Source organism: Homo sapiens, chromosome 13 (genome assembly GCF_000001405.40).
Source record: "Homo sapiens chromosome 13, GRCh38.p14 Primary Assembly".
In the NCBI taxonomy this organism is placed as follows: Eukaryota; Metazoa; Chordata; class Mammalia; order Primates; family Hominidae; genus Homo; species Homo sapiens.
The window spans coordinates 50,592,767-50,615,393 of NC_000013.11; the positions used below are offsets into that span (position 1 = coordinate 50,592,767).

Below are 22,627 nucleotides of genomic sequence, written 5' to 3' on the forward strand. Positions count from 1 at the left end.
TATTTATAGCTGTATGGTATTCTGTAGTATGGATGTGCATGCCTACAATCTCCTGTCTGTAATTCCTAAAATTAAAAACAAAACAAAACAAACCTCTGTGAACCAAATAGCAAACTCATTTGGTGGCAAAACGTGACTTAGACTGATACAAGGACTGATATATAAGGTTCAATGCCCCATATGAGCTTTCTAAATTTCAAAACATTCTGACATGCAAACCACATCAAAACCCAGGGTTTCAAATAAAAAATTGTGGAGCTGAACTGTAATTCATTTAACTAGACCCTTGTTGACTGGCATTTGGATTTCTAAAAGTACTTTTTGCTATTACAGTGTGGTAGTAAATAATGTTGTATGTCACTTCACACCTGTAAAATAACATACATAGGATTAATTTCTAGAATTGGGATTTCTAGGTCAAAGAGTAAATGCATTTGCAATTTTGACATATTTGGCTAAATTATCCTCTGTAAAGGTTTTATATCTTCTCACCCCTCATAAGCTTATTCCCCCAACATTCTTCTTTTTCAGTCTTTCCATTTGAGAGGAGTAAGCATCTTTTCATACTTTAAATGGCTACATTCAGTTCATTTTCTGTGAGCTGTTCGTTTATTTATTTTGCTCATTTTTTACATTGGATTGTTGAAGTTTTTTTTAGTGATTTGTCAGAGTTCTTTATGTATAAAGGAAATGAATCCCTTGTGATACAATCTGCAATTTTTTTCTAGTTGACTTGCTTTCAACTTACTTGTGGTGGCTTTTGCTGTTGGGTTTATTTGTAGACTTATTTATTTATTTGTTTTCTCTCTCTGCAGACAACTTTCCTTCAGACTATGTGTTTTTTTAACTCCATATGTGGCATAATCTATTCTGATTTTTCTAAAGAAAGAGAAAGAAGTAAAGGATGCAGGGCAAAAAGCTATCCATATGATTTAGGTCTTAGGAGACTCAGGAAATTGATAGGCAACATTGAACATTTTAAATTCAGCACTTACTAAGGGTTTTGTGTTAAGTTTTTGTATCTATCTATAACAATAGCAACTTTCATTAGTGCATAGTACAATAATAGAATATATATATCTTAAAAACAATTTTGTTTTTTGTCTCAGTCAGAAAGCACAACCGTGTGCACAGTCACCTAACCATGTCTATTCCCTGTCTCTTGCTTTCCTTTTTCAAAGCATGTTTTGCTCTGTGGGTGTGCATGCCTGTGCGTGTGTTTTGTTTTTAAAGACATTGCTCATGTGCATAGTGCAAAGGTCATTAAAGAGAAAATTTGATTAGTTATTAAGTATGTTGTAAATATATTGGTATTGAAGACTATTTATTATATTTCCAAAGAAAAGATAAATGTTTCAAATACTTTAAGATAAAGAAGACTTCTGTTGAAATCCCCAATTAACTTTAAACTTTTCAAATCAGCAATCAGAATGAAAGGTGGTTAACCATCTGACATTTTGGCAATCTTGTGACATATACCGTAGTAAAGGCCAAAAAAACTGGAATTGAGTTTCATGAGAGGGAACAGATTCTAAGATTCGAGTGCAGAGGTGCCTGCATTATTCGAGTGCAGAGGTGCCTGCATTATTGTGGCTCTATTTGCTGTCTATTTCACTTGCCTATGCTTTGGGCCAGTGTAGGCCTCTTCTCTTTTCACTTTAAGCCTGTGGTTAATTTTCAAGTAAGAGGGCCCCATGGGGTGAGGCCCAGAGGAGGCGAAGGCTGGGGGTAGGTCAGGCGGGGGCGGGTGGGGGGGGGCCTGCAGACCACAGCCTCTGTTTATCCGCAGTGCAGGTGCAAGGCAGTGGCGGGAAGGCGGTGCCCCTGGGACTTCTCCCAATCAATCACCCCACCTAGGCCACCGGGTGGCCCCTTGGGGCTGCCTCACACAAAGTGCAGCCTTTCTCTGACATCCCAAACAGGCAGAGAGGCCAGAGTTCACAGAGAGCAGGGCTTTCACTACTTGGCTGTTTTTAAAATGTAGTCAAGTTAAACTGCAGGGAGAGTCCCAAATGGTAAAAATCTAAATAGTCTCACTTTCAGTCCATCTCCCTGCTCCCTGGAGCTGCTCTGACCTTACCTTCGATTTCCTGTCTTGAGCCTCCCCTCTCCATTTGAGGGGGTCACTGTTGTTTTTTCCCTCCTGTGAAACTCCTGCTTAGCTTCCAGCCTTTGGAGAAAGTGCTTAATATTTTCAGCAGTGGAGACTTCCTTTGCAGGCTTCAGAAAGACAATTTTCTTCGGGGAAGAAAGAAAGTGAGACCATAGCCAATGCAGCAGCTGACAGCCTCTAGCCAGACAGATGTTAGAGGAGGCAGAAGTGAGGAAAGATACAATATACTTTGGGGAATTTGTTAATCTGAAATTATTAATTATACTCTTGCTAAAGGCATTGTATTAAAAATCGGGCAACAAGAGAAAGAAGTAGAGATGCAGTTTCTACAATTCAGTTCACAATATACTTGAAAAGATCAAATAATGGCACATCAAAAGTAGAAACAGTAAATGGGTTAGCTCGGGGTTTAAATCCTAGTGCTGCTAGTTCATAGCTATATGACCCTGGCAAATTGCTTAACCTCTCTGAGCCTCTATTTTCTCATGAGTAAAGTGGAGATAGTGAGAGTATATACCTCCTAGGATTGCCCTGAGGATTAAATGAGATAAGTATGTAAAGTGCATGTCACTGGACTTGGCCTTCAGCAAGACTTAGTGAATGTGAGTGTTCATTGGTACAAACTCTGTATATGTTACAAGAGTACACAGTAGGACTCCTAGGAGTTCAGAAACGGGCAGGGCCCCCGTGGCTGGGATGATCAGAGAGAAGCTGCCACGAGGGGAGAAAGATTTGGCTTGAGTCAGAGAAAAGTAAAAGAACTTATATATGTGGAGGATTTTAGCTGAGGGGATGGCAAGTGGGTGGTACTGAGGCTCCCACGGCCTCCCCATTTTATGTGAACAAGATGAACTTCACTATTATCATGTTATATATTGGGGGGCCAGGGTCTTCCAAGTAAGACTTGGTGTGAAGAAGCTTTTTGTTCACACACACACACACAAATTGAAAACCAATGACTTGCTTAAAGGCAACTGGTGGATGAGACAAGAGCAGTATCTGAAAAGAAGATTTACATTCCCTAATGTGCATTTGTTCAGGGAGTCATTTGATAAACTTACCGAGGACCTCTTATGTTCTAGGTAAGAGGTGGAGGACACAAAGATCACTGAGATACTGTGGCTCCTGCTCCCGGCTTCTACTCGTGGGACAGTCAGCCACTTAAGTGAACATAAGATGAGCAAAGGGTGCCTGGGGCCATCACACTGAGCAAAGAGCCATCGGGGCCATCACATTTGCCAGGAGCACAAGGGTGGAAACTGAAAGGCTTCACTGATAGAAGTGACATGTGGGCTATGTGGCTGAGTGATGCATGCTGCCTCTTTATGTTTCAGGATATCAAGCAGTGTCTTGTCCCCTCCAAAGATGCACTTGAGGGGCTCCCCTCTGTCAAAGCGATGGGGCAGGCAGTGTGCAGGAGGAAGAAAGGCTAGACTCAGCCACAGGACCCCAAGTGTGAGCAGGGGAGCCACAGCAGTGCCCTCAGCAGAGCCTTGCTGGGAGCCTCCACCTGCAGAGGTAAAGTGCAGCTGGAGCTGAGCCCCTGGGAGGAAGGCAGACCAAGGCTTTTCTGGAAGACTCCTTGGGGCTGCTTTCAAGAGTTGCTCTGGATTAGCCTTTTCTGCCTTCTTTTTGCTTTAACAACTGTACAATCCCTGTGCTAGAAGAGCCCTCTGTGGCCATGGAAGCGCCTAAGTGCAGGATCAAAGGGTTTGCTGGTCAGGTGAAGGGACTCAACAATATGAACAAAATTAGGCGCATTTAGTTCCTTTTTGGGACTCCTAACTTTTCATTTTCATATGGCTGCGGAGGGCATGCCTAGCATATCTGTGGAACCAGGGTGCCTGTGGAGAATGGATGCATAATAAACGTTTGGACCATGGAGTGAAATAAGCCAAATAGGGCATAGCTTCATAATTAAATTCACAGATGAAACCTGATGGAGATAGGATCTGGGAACACCAGCGACAATTGAGAAACTGCCCCAGAGGGATAGAGGGGAAAGGGACTAGCTGTATAGGCAGGAAATAACAACTTGAGGTTTGACCTTGAACAATGGAAGGCTAATTCACCTGGGCTGACATAATTGAAAACACAGATATACAGCACAGAAAAGGCACATGGAAATGTAAACCGTTGATAAGAGCTTGGGGAGAGTAAGTAGCAAATTGGATTGCAGATTAAATCAGGGCAAGGTTGCAAATTACTCAACTCCAGTGAGGGGTCTGCTAGACTTACAGCCCTGCTTGGCTCCACTGTGAGCTGGTGCAGGCAAAGGAAAGGCTGGGACATCATAAGATAGGGACCCAGGGCTTCTTCCTTCACCAATGCACAGAGGAACACAGGCAAGAGCTAATAGCAGGGAGGTCACTGATTGGTGTGGGCCTGTGTCTCTCTTGGCTTAAATAAAGTGGGAAAGAACACTTTGCCTTACATGCAAGATCCTCTGGGATGAGGTGGGGTAGGGAGGCTTCAGAGAGGAGGCTGGGGAGCTGATGTAGGTGATGGGGACATAGGTCAGGAAAGGAATTTGCATTTAGAACGAAACGTGGCACATGGTGGCACTCAATTTGTGTTAACTGCCACCAACCTCAACTCGCCTCAGAGTAAATATTGGGGCCTCTCCAATGGGAGCGTGGGCCCACTAGTGATTCTAGGTTTCTCCAGGTGGTCCTGAGCTGCCATATTGTACGTGTTTTTAATGCTTTCCCAGTGCCTAGTCTTTTGCTTTTGACACGAGTTACTTTTAGAATTTTATGTATTTCATTGTCTCATAAATACAGCTTCATTCTTTTTTTTTTTTTTTTTTTTTGTAATAAGCAAGAGTATAGAGATTAAATAGGGTCTTGGGTCCACTTAAATTGCCCACAGGTCAAAACATTCTGAGAAACAACGCTGCCAGTGATTAAAAAGAGCCAATTTAGAGGCTAATTTAGTAATTTATTAATTAATTTACTAATTTCTTAAATGTATTTAGAGGCTACTTTAGTAGTTATCCTCCCTGTTAGACAGGCACAAAAAGATCCTTGGCCTCTGTCCCTTCTCTTTACCTCTCACGTTGGCTGTTGATCTGGTGGATTCTACTTCCTTCAATACCTTCACAGCTGTCCCCTTCTTACAAGTCCCACTGCCACTGGCTGTCTTCACCCCAGGAGATGCAGTGCCTTCATCCCTGCTCCCCCTCTCTCCGCCTTCCATCTGCCCACCACCATTCTCAATGTGGGCTTTGACTGGGTCATTCCCCTTCTCAGAAACTTTCAATTGCTTTTAAAAAATGTATTCTCAAATCCTGGTCCGCTGTTCCAGGCTCCCATCCCTTGCCCTTCTGCCCCTGCAGCTTCCGAATCATTCCACCTCCTGTACCTTGTGATCATTCCTCTCTACCCACACAGGCTTTCCCCATGGATATCTTTTTTCCATGCTTCCTTTTCCTCCCAGGTCTCTCCATCCCACCCCATCTCTCTCTCTCATCTCCTCACATCTAAAGCCTATTAATCTTTCAAGACTCAGCTCAAGAGCACAAAGCCTTTCTCAGTTCCTCTAGCTTGAGGCTCTCTCTCCTTGCTCTGAGCTGCCATGATATGGGCACCTGTTCCGACCATCTCACAGAGAAAAAATGGGTCAGAGTCACTGTGTTGTGTGTTAAGAGCCCATGCTTTAGAGTTCAGAGCCTGGCTCTGTCACACACTAACCATGTGACCTTGAGCAAGTAAGTTAATCTCTCTGACCTTAAGCCTCCCTGTCTGCAAAACGTGTGACACGCTTGATGAAACATGTGTGATGTGCTTGGCAAGGTGGCTGTTAATGATCAGCAATAATGCTCCTGAGCTGCATGGCACAGGGGGAGGGGCTGATATATGACAGCTATTATTATTACATACTTACTAACCAAAAATAACATATTTTAGGTTATTGTATTTGTGTTCATGCCTTGCCTTAAGCCTTATGTTGGGCATTCCTTCAAGGCATAGCTCTTGGACGACTCATCCTTGTGTCTTCTGAAACACCTACTATGTTGCCTACATCAAGTAGGTCCTCAGACAGTGTCTGTTAATGGCATCAGTGACCAAATTAACAGAAAAATTATCAATGGCACCATGTGGAATGCTCTCTTAAAGCAAGTGTCCTATCATTTGGCTCAGCCTGGCCTTTACATTTCCACTAAGGTGACTGCACATTTCAGGCATTTACATGCAGGTGGGTGGGAGCAGAAAGTATGTTGTCGACAGGTGGTAACTTCGTGGCTTTGCCCTGTTGGGGTGTACGGTGGACGAATTCACTTCTATGCTTTATTTCCTCCCTTTATTTGACTAACCTGAATCTACCCAGCAACCAACACATAGAACAGAGCCTTAGAAATGGAGGCAGGTTTCCTCTGGGTCCCCTGGGAGCTTCAAGACCACACCATTATTAACTGGCTGGAAACAATTTAGCATCTGGCTCCCAAGGGATAGAAATGTAGAGAATGGGGTGAGAGTACATCCCATCCTGTCGTTTAAACAATATTCTGGCTCAGAAAGCAAAGAATCTAAACACATTTTTCCAAGAAAAAGTGAATGTAGTAATTTTCCTTGAAAGAGCTCAATGTTTTCAGTCTTTTGATAATTAGAGATGGAGTCTAGCAGGGAAAGGTCATTTCAGAGAACAGGATCTGTCCAGCAGAATTTGGAGAGGCTTTCTTTCTGAAGTGGTCTCCCTTCCTCCTTCTCTCTTGCAGACTCATGCCCTTCTAGTACCACCCTTGGAACTTAGTTCTTGTTTTGCACCCTGGACATGCATACTCCTGGGATGCCCAGTCTGGGCTCATCCTCCTGAGGCTGGCTCCTGTACTCTGACTCCCTCCCACTTCTCCTCTGTCTTCATTTTTACCTTGGTTTGCTCTCAAACTATGCCAGGTGCTCACCTGTTACTTGTCTCCTGCAGCATGTGTGCTTTTTTTTTTTTTTTTAATTAACCACTATTTATTAAACTTCTATAATGTATCAGGTGCTGAGGCAGTCTTTTTAAATACATGTGTTCCTTTAATCTTAAAAACAATCTGTGCAATGATTATTGATATCTTCAATACATCAAAGTAAACTGGAGCTAAGAAAATGTACCATTAAATTACTACTGTTATAAAAGCAATTTTGATAGATGGTATTATTTCTCCCAAGTTTGTGTCTCTTTCCTAGTAGAAATACTATCTATCCTCGTCCTTTGCCATATGGTTATCTGTGCCTCCCAGGTGAAGGAATGTAGTTCACCAGATTGCTGACAAGCATGTGTGCTTTGTAATAAGGCCTTCTGGTGAGACGGTTTAATTCCAAAGAGCACTTTTAGTGGAGGAAAGATTTTGGCCCCATCTGATCTACCAAGGTCCAGTACCACCCCTGGAAACTAGATATGTTCTTATGTATCTACCATTTTCTTTCAAGTCATCTGTTCTCAACCTGCTAGGAAAGAGTGAACACAAAAGCGAAACTGAGTAATTATACTGAAAATTCATATTGGGGCGCTTTTATAAAAGTGACACCACGTTTAACTATACTACTGGAGAAATGGTGTGCTTTCAGGTAAAATTATTTCCAGGGGTTTGTAGGTACAACTTGAAGATTCTAAGCCTTGGAAGAAAGAGTTAAGTCCCAAATTCACTTCCTCCACTCCTTTTGAGGCATTTCTGAAATTAAACATTTTCCCAAGTTCTGCATAAAATCAGAAAAGGTCTATTGTTACTAAAGAGGAAAAGGAGATTGCTCAGAAGTTGTTTTCCAGCCTTACACAGAGCAAAGGGCCTGGTGAGAGATGATTGTTTTGTCAGGATTCTGAAGCCTTTTTGGAATAAGACAAAAAGACAAAACAAGGTTAGGGTAGGAGGTGGCCTAAATAAAGAGGATATAATGCTAAGTAAATAGAGCTGAAAGTCAGGAACCAAATGAAACAAGGACAGTCAAAACAATCAGGGGGACTTGCTGAAACCAGCCAAACAACAACAAACAGCTAACAATATGGAAATGAGCCTTTTAGAGGAAAACTCCAAGCTATGCTACACTATCCTGACTGTCCTTTCATGACAACATGAAACTAGTATCCCAGAAAGATGTAATATATGGCATCTGAAATGGCAGGAGTTGGAGTTTCCATGGTGAAAATAGTTCACTTGTCTCAGGCTTTACTCACCAAGAACAAAATTATGCCAGTCTTGGTTTCTTATGTCAGCTGGGTCTATATCTACGATGGACCAAAGAGCTTTGTTCTTGGACTCTTTAGGCAAGTCCTTGGTGCTTATGGTTAGGGTCCCTGTGGCAGAGTCCTGGTAGAAAGGATGTCCCTCCAAATTCATATCCTATTTTTAAAGAATTTTATTGGGGACCCTGTAGATCAACATTGTGTATTTTATATTTTATTGATGAAGAGCCTGAGAGCTAGAGAGGTTATGCTGTTTTCAAGGTATTATTTGAACATCTCTTTGCATATTGCAGCAATAGAATTGCTACAATAGGTCTAGATATTGACCTAGAGTGATCAAGAACATTGTGTTAATGAATATCCATACATCTATGTATGACAACATGTCAAATGAAAAAAATAAGTTGGATATAAAATTGATTCCAACTAAGTTAAACATATATTATATCCAGAGAATAAAGACTGAAAAGAAATAACACCAAAACATTAAAAGTGGTGCTCTGTGAGAGTGGGATTACAGGAAACTATTATTTTTCTTTGTTCTCTGTTTTCCAAATTTTCCAAAGTGAATATGTGTTACTTTTTTAAATTGGAAAAATAAACATTAGCAAGTTGTAAGTTTTATAAAAGAATAAAATTGTACATAAATATTATCAACCCAAAATGGTGGAAGACAGTCAAACGAGGCTATGGAAGCTGTGTAAGAATCAGTAAAAACCAATGCCTCCCAGAGGAATAGACACAGACTATTTTCATGTATTTGTCTGAAGGTGTCCAGGCCTGCTAGGAGAGGGTTTTATTTTTTGTTTTGTTTTGTTTTATTGAGACAAGGTCTTACTCTGTCGCCCAGGCTGGAGGGCAGTGGTGCAATCTCTGCTCACTGCAACCTCCACCTCCCGAGTTCAAGCGATTCTCCTGCCTCAGCCTCCAGAGTAGGTGGGATTACAGGAGCCCACCACCACGCCCGGCTAATTTTTGTATTTTAAGTAGAGACGGGGTTTCATCATGTTGGTCAGGACTGGGCTGGTCTCGAATTCCTGACCTCAAGTGATCCACCCACCTAGGCCTCCCAAAGCCCTGGGATTACAGGTATGAGCCACTGCACCTGGCCTGGGAGAGGGTTTTAACCAGGTGATCAAGCTACTCAAATATTCTGCAAAAACAGAGACTTTAAGGCTCAAAATATAAAAGGTGAGGGAGGACAAACTCCCTGAAGATGAGGGTGGCATTGTAAGATGCCTCTATGAAGGTGCTAAGAGCTGCAGGACTTCTCTCCACTGAGAGCCAATCACAATCCCAAAAGACACAATCTCCAACATTGTAATCTCAAATGTTGAAATCCCAAAAATATCGAAATCTTAAAAATATCGTTCTGGAAAAAAATATTAAAATATTCCTTAAAATATATTTATTCACACTTTAAAGGGGAACTAACTTGAGAAACACGTAGAAACACCACAGAAAACTTCATAGGCCACTTTGCACAATAAGATACGCAATAATAACATACATATTTTTGCCAGCATAAGCACAGGTACACTAACAATAGCAGCATGGATATAACAGTTACTAGTAGATGAGCCATATTCATAAAGAAATAGGTCAAAAAGCAAAATGTGTAAATGCATATCATTATGGTTGGTAATGGCGTGTACCCAGCTTCATAACTGAGTTCATCTGAAATCAAAAGCTGAGATGGTCACCACTGCATATGCAATCGCTCAAAGAGCCAAGATCTTGAGACGTTTTATCTTTCACAAACACAGATGTACTAAAAGGATGTCTCTTCATTTACTGAGGAGATAATTAATGTAAAAACATTGTGCATGTTTTTACATGCCACACAAGTCTTACATACAAAGTCAATATTGCGATAATGCACTTTTGTAAAGTTGAATTTGCAAAATATGCATGAAACAAATTAAAACTCTAAAGTCTCTAAACATCTTTACCTCTATTGTTGGAAATTATGCAGAGATGTAATACGCTACACAGTGAATTGTAAAACATAGTGCCGATAATTTTAAAAAGTCAAAAAAAAATTAAACAAAGGAAAAGCAAAAAGAAAAAACAAAAAAGCCCTAAAAAAATTTTTAAAAGTTTGACATATGAAAAAGTATATTACAGGGATAGATTATGGGCAATTTCAAGGAGATGGTACATAGCAGCTGGCCAGCTTTCGCGATCATTACCTTTTTTGTTTGTTAGTTTTTGAGACTAAGTCTTGCTCTGTCACCCCAGCTGGAGTGCAGTGGCATGATCAAGACTCACAGCAGCCTTGAACTCCTGGGCTCAAGTGATCCTCCCACCTCAGCCTCCTGAGTAGCTGGAACTATAGGCATGTGCCACCATGCTTGGTTAATTTTTGTTTTTTATTTTTTGTAGAGACAGGGTCTTACTATGTTGCCCAGGCTGGTTTCAAACTCCCGGCGTCAAGTGATCCTCCCACCTTAGCCTCCCAAAGTGCTGGGATTACAGACATGAGCCACCACACACAGTCTGATTAACTACATTTTGAAGGCTTGCATCATGATGAGTAGCTGCTTTCTTTCTTTAGGGATATGGCTGTTCTTTGGAGAATATGTTCACATTCATTTTCTCTGTGGCACTGCTCTTTTTGAAATTCTTCTATGATTTGTTATATACCGACTTGGGCATCCCATATTGCATTTTCCCATCTTCTGTTTAGGGATTTTGATCTTTGGGTATTTCGACATTCAGGATGATGGTGTTAGGGATTATGTCTTTTGGGATTATGATCCAAACTCCCCTCCACCTCCTCAGGCACAGGGCTGGCCCCATCCATGCATCAATGGGCACTCATATCTGGTTGAGTGTAAATTAAGATGTAACTGGAGAAATCCATGTTCTGTGCCAGTTGTGATCTGCACTAGCTCTCCCTTTTCCATCTCAAGGCAATTCTGCCTGGGTTTCCTGCCTAAAGTCACATAGTCGGGAGCTAATAGAGTTGGCCCCCAAACAAAGCTTCTCAACTCCTAGTTCTCTACTGCTTTCCACCAACACATGCTCCCCTCTTTTAAGTCATTCAGTTTCCGATATGTGGATTTTGTGCCTGAAAGCAAACTTTGAATTTTGGGGTGCCAAGTGTAGTCCTAAACATAGGTAGGATAGAATTATGTGGTGTAATAAAAGCCCCAAAATTCCATTGATCCAAAATATTTTTTTCATGTGTGAAACTAAATGCCTGAAAATTTGCCTTAGGAAACAACTCATTCCTTTGGGTGAAAATTCTTGGTTTCATAGAGTTCTTTATGTTAAGGATACATAGGAGAATCACTGGACAAGTAATAAGGGTCATGGAGTCTCCTCTGGCCCATTATGTGCAATCGAGCAAGTAGTTTAAACTCTTCGGGTCTGTTTTGTCATCTGTCAAAACTTGTAACTACTTCTTAGTTATCAGCCTGTAAGTGAGAATTAATTCATGAGATTTTTCTTTCAGTCTAGCTACTACAGAAGAAAGGGGCTTTGGATGTTTTAACAGGGGAAATTAAAAGGAGAGCTCTGAAGCATGAGCTACTCTTCACTGGATGCAGATTCAGGTGGGAGATTGGAGAGGGCAGCCCTCAAAGCTGGGGGTCCAGGAGAGATGGGAGGGCCCCACATGGAAATGCTGATTGGATCATGTTGTTTTGCACTTTTTACCATGAAGACAGGCAGACTGCCTTCTCATTTCCTCCTCTTACTACCTAACAAAGTTTGCACTTAACAAACGTCCAGGCTGGGTGCTGTGGGTCACGCCTGTAATCCTGGCACTTTGGGAGGCCAAGGTGGGCAGATCACGAGGTCAGGAGATCAAGACCATCCTGGCCAACATGGTGAAACCCATCTCTACTAAAAATACAAAAATTAGCTGCGTGTGGTGGTGCATGCCTGTAATCCCATCTACTTAGGAGGATGAGGCATGAGAATCACTTGAACCCAGGAGGCGGAGCTTTCAGTGAGCCGAGATTACGCCACTGCACTCCAGCCTGGCAACACAGCAAGACTCCATCTAAAAAAAAACAAAAAAAAAACTTAAATTTATTAGACTTCCCCATAGTAATTGCACCCAGAGCCTGACTATAGGATTGGAGAACATGGATCAAACCCATGCTTCATGCACTCATAAGTTAAGGGAACGTTGATGAGGTTTCTCTCTTCTCTCTGGCATAATTGTACCTCACTGTTTGGTGAATGTCCTCTCTCAGGACACTCCTGATCCTGTTTTTCCAAAGCATCCTTTGTTCTTTAGTCCAGGACTTTCTTACCTTGTCATTTTCCAATCTATTCCTTAGGAGAGTCTATACTTCCCAAGCACACAAAGACTGATTCAGGCCTATACAGGTCCCTTGTACCTGCTGTTTAGCATGGTCACTGGGGCTAGTTGGGCCCCATCCTATGGTAGAGTTAAGGTTGCCAGCAGCTTGAAGGGGAGGGAAAGGGGACAGTCAGACTTGAGATGATGGAGAAAGTACATAATTAGCCTCCAATTAATGAAGAATTGCCTGTCTTAGCTGCATTCTCATGTTCTCGAGTTAAACACATTTTTACCCAGAGAATCAGAGTCTCCTAAGAAACATAAGATTATCAATGAGTGGTTTGGGCCAATGCGGGCCCTTCCCAGACCAGATAGATTATCCATTTCCTTCTTGTTGGATATAGACTTTTTTTTTTTTTTTTTTGAGACGGAGTCTTGCTCTGTTGCCCAGGCTGGAGTGCAATGGCATGATCTTGGCTCACTGCAACCTCCAGCTCCCTGGTTCAAGTGATTCTCCTACCTCAGCCTCCTGAATAGCTGGGATTACAGACACATGTCACCATGCCCAGCTAAATTTTGTATTTTTAGTAGAGACAGGGTTTCACTATGTTGGCCAGGATGGTCTTGAACTCCTGACATCATGATCCGTCCACCTTGGCCTCCCAAAGTGCTGGGATTACAGGTGTGAGCCACCACGCCTGGCTGGATATAGACCTTTATATTTATAGAAAGTATTCTAAAAGTTTTGACTTCTTAAAAGAGTTTAATTCCCTGTATTCGAAGGAGGGGGGAAATAAGAAACAAACACCTATGCCATATTAAAAAGAGGGCCCAGATATTCATCCTTTGATATTACTAGAAAGGAGGCTAATGATGAGGAGGCTAAGGAGGCTAATAGTGTGGCAGGCTATGGTCATCTGTTGGTATTTCTCTTATGATGGTGATATTCTGATAATCTTTATTAAAGGAAAAGTCCAGCTTGCATTCTCAGTTTCCTAAAACTTGAAAGTTCAGTCTTGGTATACATTTAAAAATTCATCAAACAGTGAAGTAAAATTATGCTTTTAATATTTTACATTTTCTGGAGAACACTTATATACTATTGATGGGAATGTAAATTCATTCAACTACTGTCAAAAGCAGCTGAGAAATTTCTCAAAGAACTTAAAACCAGAACTACCATTCGACTCAGCAATCTCATTACTGGATATATATCCAAAAGAAAACACATCATTCTGCCAAAAAGACATGTACATTCATGTGTTCACTACAGCACTACTCACAATAGCAAAGACATGGAATCAACCTAGGTGCCCATCAATGGTAGATTGGATAAAGAAAATGTGGTACCTACACACCATGAAATACTATGCAGCCATAAAAAAAGAATGAAATCTTGTCCCTTGCAGCAACATGGATGCAGCAGGAGTCTGTTATCCTAAGCGAATTATTAATAACACAGAAACAGAAAACCAAATACCATATGTTCTCATTTGTAACTGGGAGCTAAACATTGGGTACTCATAGACTTAAAGATGGAAACAATAGACACTGGGGAATACTGCGTGGGGTCAAACGTTGAAAAACTAACTATTGGATGTGATACTCCTTACCTGGGTGACAGGATCAATCATACCTCAAACCTCAGCATCACATAATATACCCATATAAGCAACCTTCACGTGTGCCTCCTGAATCTAAAATAAAAGTTGAAATTATATATATATTTATATATAAATAAATATATATATTTATATGTAAATAAATTTATATATATTTATATATATAAATATATATATGTATTTATATATAAATAAATTTATATATATATTTTAAAAACCTTAACTGTTGAGATTGACCAAATCAGCCAAGAGGGATAATAAAATACCAGGAAAAGAAATTTTACATTTTCTTAGATGTTCATTGCAGAAATTTTGATAATTACAAAAATTATTATTTTTAATACAGCTATGTTCATATGTACCTCAAATTTGGATTATAATTATATGAATTTCTAAGTGTATTACAAAATGTTTTATAATGAATATTTCCCTCTTTCAGTAAATATTCTGCTAAGGTGTGAATTTTATGGCTGTGCAACATTTTATTGTGTAGCTAGAGCACAATGTGTGTAATAATTTATTTAACTCAATCCTCATTGGATTCTTGCTGTTTTGCTATTATAAAGAAAGCCATAATGACTCTCTCTCTGTGTATTTCTTTGTCTTTGGTTTAAAAGAATAACATTAGCATAGATGTCACCAGGCATACAGACATGATCAGATTTTTCCAGTGGCATTTGCCAGCTGCCATTTTTTCTTGAATTCTTATTTTTTATATATTCCTGAGATGTTCACTGCTGCCAGCATGCTCTACCATTATTCTTTCTGGACATCTCAGTGAATTAGGACTGGAGGCCAGCCATGGTGGTGCTGGGGCCACTGCAGCCAATGGAAGGCGAAGAAGAAGGAAGGTTCTGAGCCACTATTTGTATTTTAGATAGCAGCAGCAGTTGCTTCAACTTCTCCCAACAAAGAGACTTCTATCTCACTTTATCAAAAAGTTGAGCCACCCACAAATGAGAAAGCACATTGAAAAAGTCTGATGCCAATGAAATGCGAGGCATTTAAATTATTAGTATTGGTATATTAAGATGCCTATGTTATTTCTGTTACCTTCTTATTAATCTGTACTGTTTCACAACTTGTCCCAAATGGTATCCCCAACTCTCTGGCATTTTGCATTTCATGGGTGAAATGGAAATGCAGATGATATCAGCAGTGATGGAATGAAATGAACTTTTTATACAGCTGAAAAATCACCCTGAGCTACTGAAATATAAGAGCATACATACATCATAGTCAAGTTGTCAAAGGGGGATATTTCACAGCTATGACCTCACAGCCATAAAATATAAGCTGTATAACATGTAAGGAAACCCAAGACAACTTTTCCAGATTTTCTTTTTTTACTAGTAAGATTACCACATGGAAAATAACTTTAACAAGTTATAATAATCTAATTAAAGGAATACTTAGAATTGCATAGACCTTTTCATTTTCAAGGGTTTGAATATCTTCTGTATTCCTTACGGCGGCACAGCATCATAACATCTGTTATCTCCACATCACATGCCCAACCCTAGTGTCCAGGTAAGGGAGTCAAGTCTTTTCACACCTTTGATGTTTGAGGCTGCATCCAGCCCGCCTTATTCCTCATTGCTAAATGGGCCACAGCAGCAGGTGGGTCCTGGTGAGTTAACTCCCAGCCGACAGCGGAGCTTTGCCAGCAGCTGTCAAAGTCAGTCTGGGGATAGGCTTTAACAAAAACTATCCTTTTGACCTTTCCCCACACAGAACTCACATCCAACTTGAATAATTCATCACGGACTTCTAGGGCAGTTTTGAGAGTTTCTGAGGTTGCTTTAAAAATCTTGTCGTTCCCTTTTATTTAAGTGTCTTTGCTTTTCTTCAGAGTCAGTTTGATGATACTTGTTTTATTTTTTGCATCTTGGTTTTATTATTTATAATTAAGAAGATTTATGGCAAAATCAACAGTGCTGGAATCATTTGACAATTTAGTTAAATAATCTCCCTGATTATTATTAGTTTTCTACTACTTCTGGATGGACACCCTTCCAAATGGTTTTCTTCCCCATTTGGAAGAGCACAAGCTGACTTAGGTGTCCACTAGTGAAGAGGGACAAAGATGAACATTATCTAGAAATTGGTGGACAAGAAATGTCAAAGCCTTAGTAGAGCTTTCAGTGGGCATGTTTTTTCCACCTAAGGTGTCCAAATTAAATGTTTGTAGGTGACATGCTGTTCTTAAGAGTAGATAATCCCCATTCCAAACCCTGTGAACTCTGACAGCTGCATCATGATTTCTACAAATGTCAGAAGCTCCTATATCCTCGTGGTCACATTTGGCTCCGTCTTCCAGTCTTCATTGCATCTGCTTCTCTGCTCTGTCTCAGGGCAGTTGCTTAGTCTTTTGCCTTTGCCACTGGTTCATGGAATATAGCCCTTTTCCATGATTTTCTCAAATACTAACAACAACAACAAAACCCACAAAAGAACGTATTTATGCCAGACTTTACTGAGGGTTTGGGGAACTGGAGGGGGTTTATATTGCAACAGTGCCTGGAATTCCTGGTGTTAAAAGAGCTCTGGTTCTTTTGCTCTCTCTTTATTTCTCAGGAACATCCCCCCTACTCCTGCTCACCAACTTCTGCCATTTTCTTATGCAGAGCAATCAGCTGCCTCCAATTCTTCCCCTGAACAGCACTGGGCCAGGTGCATTTCTCTGCCCATTCAAGGATTTTACTAAAACTTTGATATTTCTTGTACAACAGTTTCTAGATAATGTTCATCTTGTCCCCATGTTCTCTGGAGAAAGGAGTGAGTATTGATTACAAGGATGGAAGCTCTAATCTCAATCAGGAATGTGACTCTCACATTTCATGAGAATCACATTGAAGACCTACTAGGCATTCTCCCCACAAATTTTGTGTTGCTTTTCAGAATTCCTGTCTCCATCCCTCCTCCTCTGCCACCTTGCTCTTCCATTAGTTTAGTCCCTCATAGATAATAATTTCTTTAAAAATTGCGCCAAAATGTCTTTCCAGATTTCTAGGTGCAAGTTATCTTCAGCAGATACATTGGAGACTGAGTTGGAAACACTAATGTGGAGTAAATCACCCCTCAGTTCCTCAGTCGGGGATCTCATCAGTTGGGTTTCAAAATGATTGATGAAGTTGGAGAGGAAACATGCATTTCTGCTATCTAGCAAAATAATACATAAAAATACATCACTTTTTAATAGATGTAGGGGAGGTGAATTATTCAATCTGGTTAACACATGAAACAGCAAATCTTACATGTAGTCATGAAGTTATTGCTTTTGGAAATGATCTATTGGCCTGCTATTATCACCAAAATGGAAAGGAATAAAGACAAGCTCTGTAAACAGTTGCTGGAGTTTGGGAGGAGAGGAAAGAGGAGGAAATTAAAATGAGGGGAGAAATCTCACCTGTACAAAAAGCCCAGCAGTCCTGTTTAGCATATCTCTAATCATTGCTGACAACAACATCTAGGACTTACTATGTGCTTCACACATATTATCTCATTTAATCTCAAATCAGCCCACAAGGGAGGCTGTGTATTTATCTACCGCTAAGGCACAGAGAGGTTAGATAGCTTGCCCAGGGTCATTCAGTCAGTAAGGGCAGAGTCTGACTCTGGGGATTGTGCCCTTCACCTTCGCATTACATTGCCCTCCAGGAAAGTCCAGGAGGGGATTTTCTTTCCCCATATAAATGCATGTAAGGATTCCAATGGCTGTAACCATTAGGATATCTTTTTCAGAATGCAAAGCGTCATCTTGCTTACAGAAGATATATGCAGACATACTGTGAAAAGGGTGAAGCATTAGATAACTATTATTGCTGTTAGTGTTGTTACCCCATGCATGTCCTTCTACTGTTAGGAAAACTACTTTCTTTGTCTTGAAACATTTCACTCCTATTAGATATTATTCAGTCTATTTTACAAATGATGAAAGTGAACCTTCCAGAGGCTTTTGGTTAATCAAAATTGCTTTGGAGTAATTCAGACCTCTATTCCCATACTGGCTCCACCATTTCTTAGCTGTGGTACCTTGGGGAAGTCTTGTACTCTTGCTGGGGCTTATTGTTCCATATGTAAAGGAATAATATTAATACCTTCCTACAAGACTTTTGTGAGCATTAGATATCATGAATATGAAGCCACTGTCTCAGTGTCAGGCACATAGTGGGCTTGTTCTTTGTGCCCCAAAGCTGCAGTGTTATCTTCTTCCTGTGTTGGAAGGAAAGCAGGATCCCTATTTCCTCTTCCAATCCATTGAACATAACCCTGGTTCTTGGGCATATGGCTATGTGGGACAGCATACTAGAGAGAAATTGTGGCGTCTCTGAGACAACCACTGAAAATAAGTTCCTAAGAAAACCCACATCAAATGGAAGCCCCAAAGCCATCACATGTCCTGTGGCAGCCCCGGATCCTAAGATACCAGCAACAACAGCATCTTGCCTTCAAAGAGCACATTTTCTTTCGCAAAGCATTTTCCAACACAGCATCTCATTTTATGGTCAAAGCAAACCTGTGCACGTCAGGCAGGTGACAGTATGCCCACCCGATGAAGACAAAAAAGGGGTAAGAATAAGTGGAATTCTATCCACAGTGCTGAAGGCCTTGGTAAATACTGCTAAGTCATCCTGTAGGTTGAAAATTGGCACAGCTATCATAAAATAGCTCAGAGTTGAAAATGAGATTGAGGAACTAGATGTTCCATTCAGCAGATAAGCCACCAAATGGATGATTTAAATGCAAACATGAATATACCAAGTGTACATGCTGGCTATTTTTATGAATTCAATATTCAACAAATGTTTTTTGAAATTGTGAAGTCAATTCAAAAATATTTATTGGACATCTCCTTTGTGAAAGACACTTTCAGTGCCTGGGACACAATACCTTCCATGGGCTCCCTGTCACATGGGGGCTGCCCACAGGATGGTCAAGGCTGTGCGATCATTATCATCCAGGAGGGAGTGGCCAGAGCTGCCTGAGGGGTTCAGGGAAAGCCTTCCTCAGAAACTGACCCATGAAATAGACCTTGAGGGAAAGGAGAGGGGTCAGAAACTGGCCCTGGCTCTTCCAGGGTCACCTATGCCTGTCCTGTGTGCTGCCACCTTCTAACATCCATCAACTTAATGAGCAGTGGGGCTCTCCATCACTTGTCCCCCTATGTCCCAAACAAGAGAAAGAACCATTAGATCCCTGTCATTGTGTGCCAATGCCTAGGGCACCCCTCATTCCTCTGGACCTGGGTTCCTGCTCTTCCTTCTGCCAAGAATGTTCTTTCCTACCCATATCCATTCTTTCAAGTGGCCTCTGACTTCCCATTCTTTACAAGCCAAGCCGAAAGGTGAGCCATGAGGTGGCTCATTTGGTGACTTTTTCGTGCACTGATCATCCAGTGCAGGCTTCGCTGCTGCCTCCTATTTCCACGTGGTGATGTGGAGTCTGGACCTTAGTTACAGCACTTCTCACATGGCCCCCTCCACAAGAACACAGACTCCCTGGGGTCAGGGTTATATTCATGCCTATTTCCACAGTGCCCAGGACAGTGCTGGCACAGAGCAAGTACTCAACAGAAGCCCATGAAAAGCAGAAATTATTACTAATACTGGTATTGAGATTTCCTGCCTGCTCTGAACACAGGCAGCCTCAGCATATTGATTGGGAGATGATTTTCACTGGCCTAGGGGCCTGTTGCCACGCTTGGACCCCTGTGCAAATTTAAAAACTAGGATAATTTGTTTAACAGGTCTTTCTATGAGCCTTTTTATCCCCCTTCTTTGGCTTTCTAGAAGAAGCTAAGGTTCAACAATATGGTTTCACCTGCCACTTGTGCTCACTTGTGCAAAGTGAGCTTGTGTCACTTTGCACAAGCTCAGCCAGGTACTTGAGGTACTCACTAACTCCCAGGGAGTTGTAGCCGACCAGGGGTTGCCACCTGACCCTGCCTGCCTCAGAGGTCTTCCTTCTAAAGGCTTGCTGCCCCCTGTTGTGAAGTGTAGGTGCACATTTTCTGACTGCACTGTCTAGCACTTGAAATGTGTGTAGTCCAAATGAACTGCAAGTGTAAAATACACACCAGATTTTGAAAACTTAGTATATAAAACGAGTGTAAAATAGCTCTTTGGTATTTTTATATTTTTATACATTAAATGACAATGTTCTGGATGTATTCGATTAAATAAAATACATTATTAAAGTTTGCTTCACCTTTTTTGCTTTTTTGATGTGAATCCTAGAAAATTTAATATGGCAAATGTGACTCACATCCTATTTTATTGGAACAATGCTGCTTTACAGTATTCAACGTAAGCAGGCTTATTCTTACTTTTAGAAGCAACAAACTTATTCTCCAAAATATGATCGTATCTAATTTTAGAGGACAAAAAGGCTATAAGTTAGAAAATAATCATAATGATGATATTAATAATAACAACGGCCAACACTTACTGAGAGCTTCTTGGCACCTCTCATTGCATCAAACACTGTGTGTATGAACATGTTTAACATTTATGGCAGCCTATGGAATGAGTACTGCAGTTATCTCCGTTATACAGACAAAGAAACTGACATACAGGCAGAAATGATAAGTTACCGCACAGGGTGTGGAAGAACTAAGATTCACACCAACGTCGTCATTTGGCTCCATAGTCCAGATCCTTCACCCCCCTGGTGGTTTTCTTTCTGGGACTCACCCTGTGGCTCACATGGCTCTGAAAACATAGCTGGTGACAGAGACTCTCACTCTGAAGTAGGATTTGTCTTGTGTGACATCATTCTGGCTGGCCCACAAAGCTTTTCTGGCTCACAGATGAGAAAAGTCAATGTTCACTGTTAATATCATTGACGTCAGGGCCAACTATAACAGCTTCCAACAGGTCAGAGAAGGAGCCAGGCATTTACCCAGGTCCAGTTCCCACCCATCACTCAGGAAAGAGGGGAGGAGAGAAAAATGGAGAGGAGAAAGGGGATATTTCTCCAACCAGGTTGTTGGAAAAACTTAGATAATGCATGTGAAGGAAGGCCCTGAGTATGGTGCCTGAAATAAATTAAGGGTTTAATGAATATCTGTTCTTTTCCTCCCTGTTTTCCTCACTAAAATCTAAAGTTTAGGATCAGCTATTAACTTTGTTAAACATTGCATGACTCAAATGCATCCATTCTCAAATGCAAACAGACCATTTAGGCATGTGCTAAAAATGTAGCCAAATGTCTACAGAATCAGGTAAGGAGCCATGCACTCTGACTCTCTTAGAATTTCCGTGCCTTTTCTCAAATACATTATTGCTGTGAGAAATGCCATCATCTTCACAGTTTGTCATATTAAAAATTATTTTTATGTTTTTCTCCCCTAATTTCTACCTCCTATTTTTTTCTGGAGTAATTTAAAGAACATCTCAGACATATATAATTTCACTTATAAATAGTTCGCTGTGTATTGCTAACAGATAAGAAGTTAAAAAAATAACCACAGTACCATTATCCCACCTAGAAAATTAATAACAATTCCTTACTATAATCAATTATAATACTCATTTTCCAGTTTTCTCAATTGTCTTAAAAAATATCTTCTTTGGCTGGGTATGGTGGCTCCTGTCTATAATCCCAGTGCTTTGGGAAGCCTGAGGCATGAAGCTTGTTTGAGGCCCGGAGTTAGAGGCCAGCCTGGGCAACATAGTGAGATCCTATCTCTAAAAAAAAAAAGGAAAATCAGCCAGGTGTGGTGGCACATGCCTGTAGTGCCATCAGGGAGCTACTCAGGGGACTGAGGGAGGAGATTCCTTGAGCCCAGGAGTTTGAGGCTGCAGTGAGCTAATGGCACCACTGCATTCCAGCCTGGGCAACAGCGCAAGACCCTGTCTCTGAAACAAACAAATAAATAAATACACGTCTTCTTAGAGTTGGTTTGCTTGAATCATGTTTCTTGTTTTAAAGTTTCATTTCTCTTCTCCTTTCTCTCTCTCCCTTCTGTCTTCTACAAATATTTACCGTATCTTTCAAAGATACATATGGGAGCTGGGTGCAGTGGCTCATGCCTATAATCCCAGCACTTTGGGAGGCTGAGGCAGGAAGATCGCTTGAGCTCAGGAGTTTGAGACCAGCCTGAGCGACGTAGTGAAACCTCATCTCTACTGAAAACCTAATAAATTAGCTAGATGTGATGGTGCCTGCTTGTAGTCCTAGCTACTTGGGAGATGGAGGCAGGAGGATTGCTTGAGCCTAAGAGCTCAAGACTGCCGTGAGCTATGATCACACCACTGCACTCCAGCCCGGGTGACAGAGGGAGACCCTGTCTTTAAAAAAATACATATGGCATGGTAAAACGAGTTAATTCCAAAGTAAATGAGAAAATATGGCAAAAGGTGAGTACAAGAAGAAAACACAGATGGAGCCAAGATTGTGGTGAGGACACAAAGGCCAGCTATAAAATTGCATGTCCCTTTTCCCTAGAAGTCATGCATTTCC

The 22,627-nt window shown here is 41.0% G+C and overlaps 2 annotated features.

Moving 5' to 3' along the window:
- Nucleotides 1,711–1,910: a silencer, noted in NCBI's record as "silent region_5360". NCBI's record gives its function as "represses an Ori minimal core promoter by ATAC-STARR-seq in GM12878 lymphoblastoid cells {active_cell/tissue: GM12878}" and the evidence as "EXISTENCE:reporter gene assay evidence [ECO:0000049][PMID:35858748]".
- Nucleotides 2,011–2,210: an enhancer, noted in NCBI's record as "active region_7761". NCBI's record gives its function as "activates an Ori minimal core promoter by ATAC-STARR-seq in GM12878 lymphoblastoid cells {active_cell/tissue: GM12878}" and the evidence as "EXISTENCE:reporter gene assay evidence [ECO:0000049][PMID:35858748]".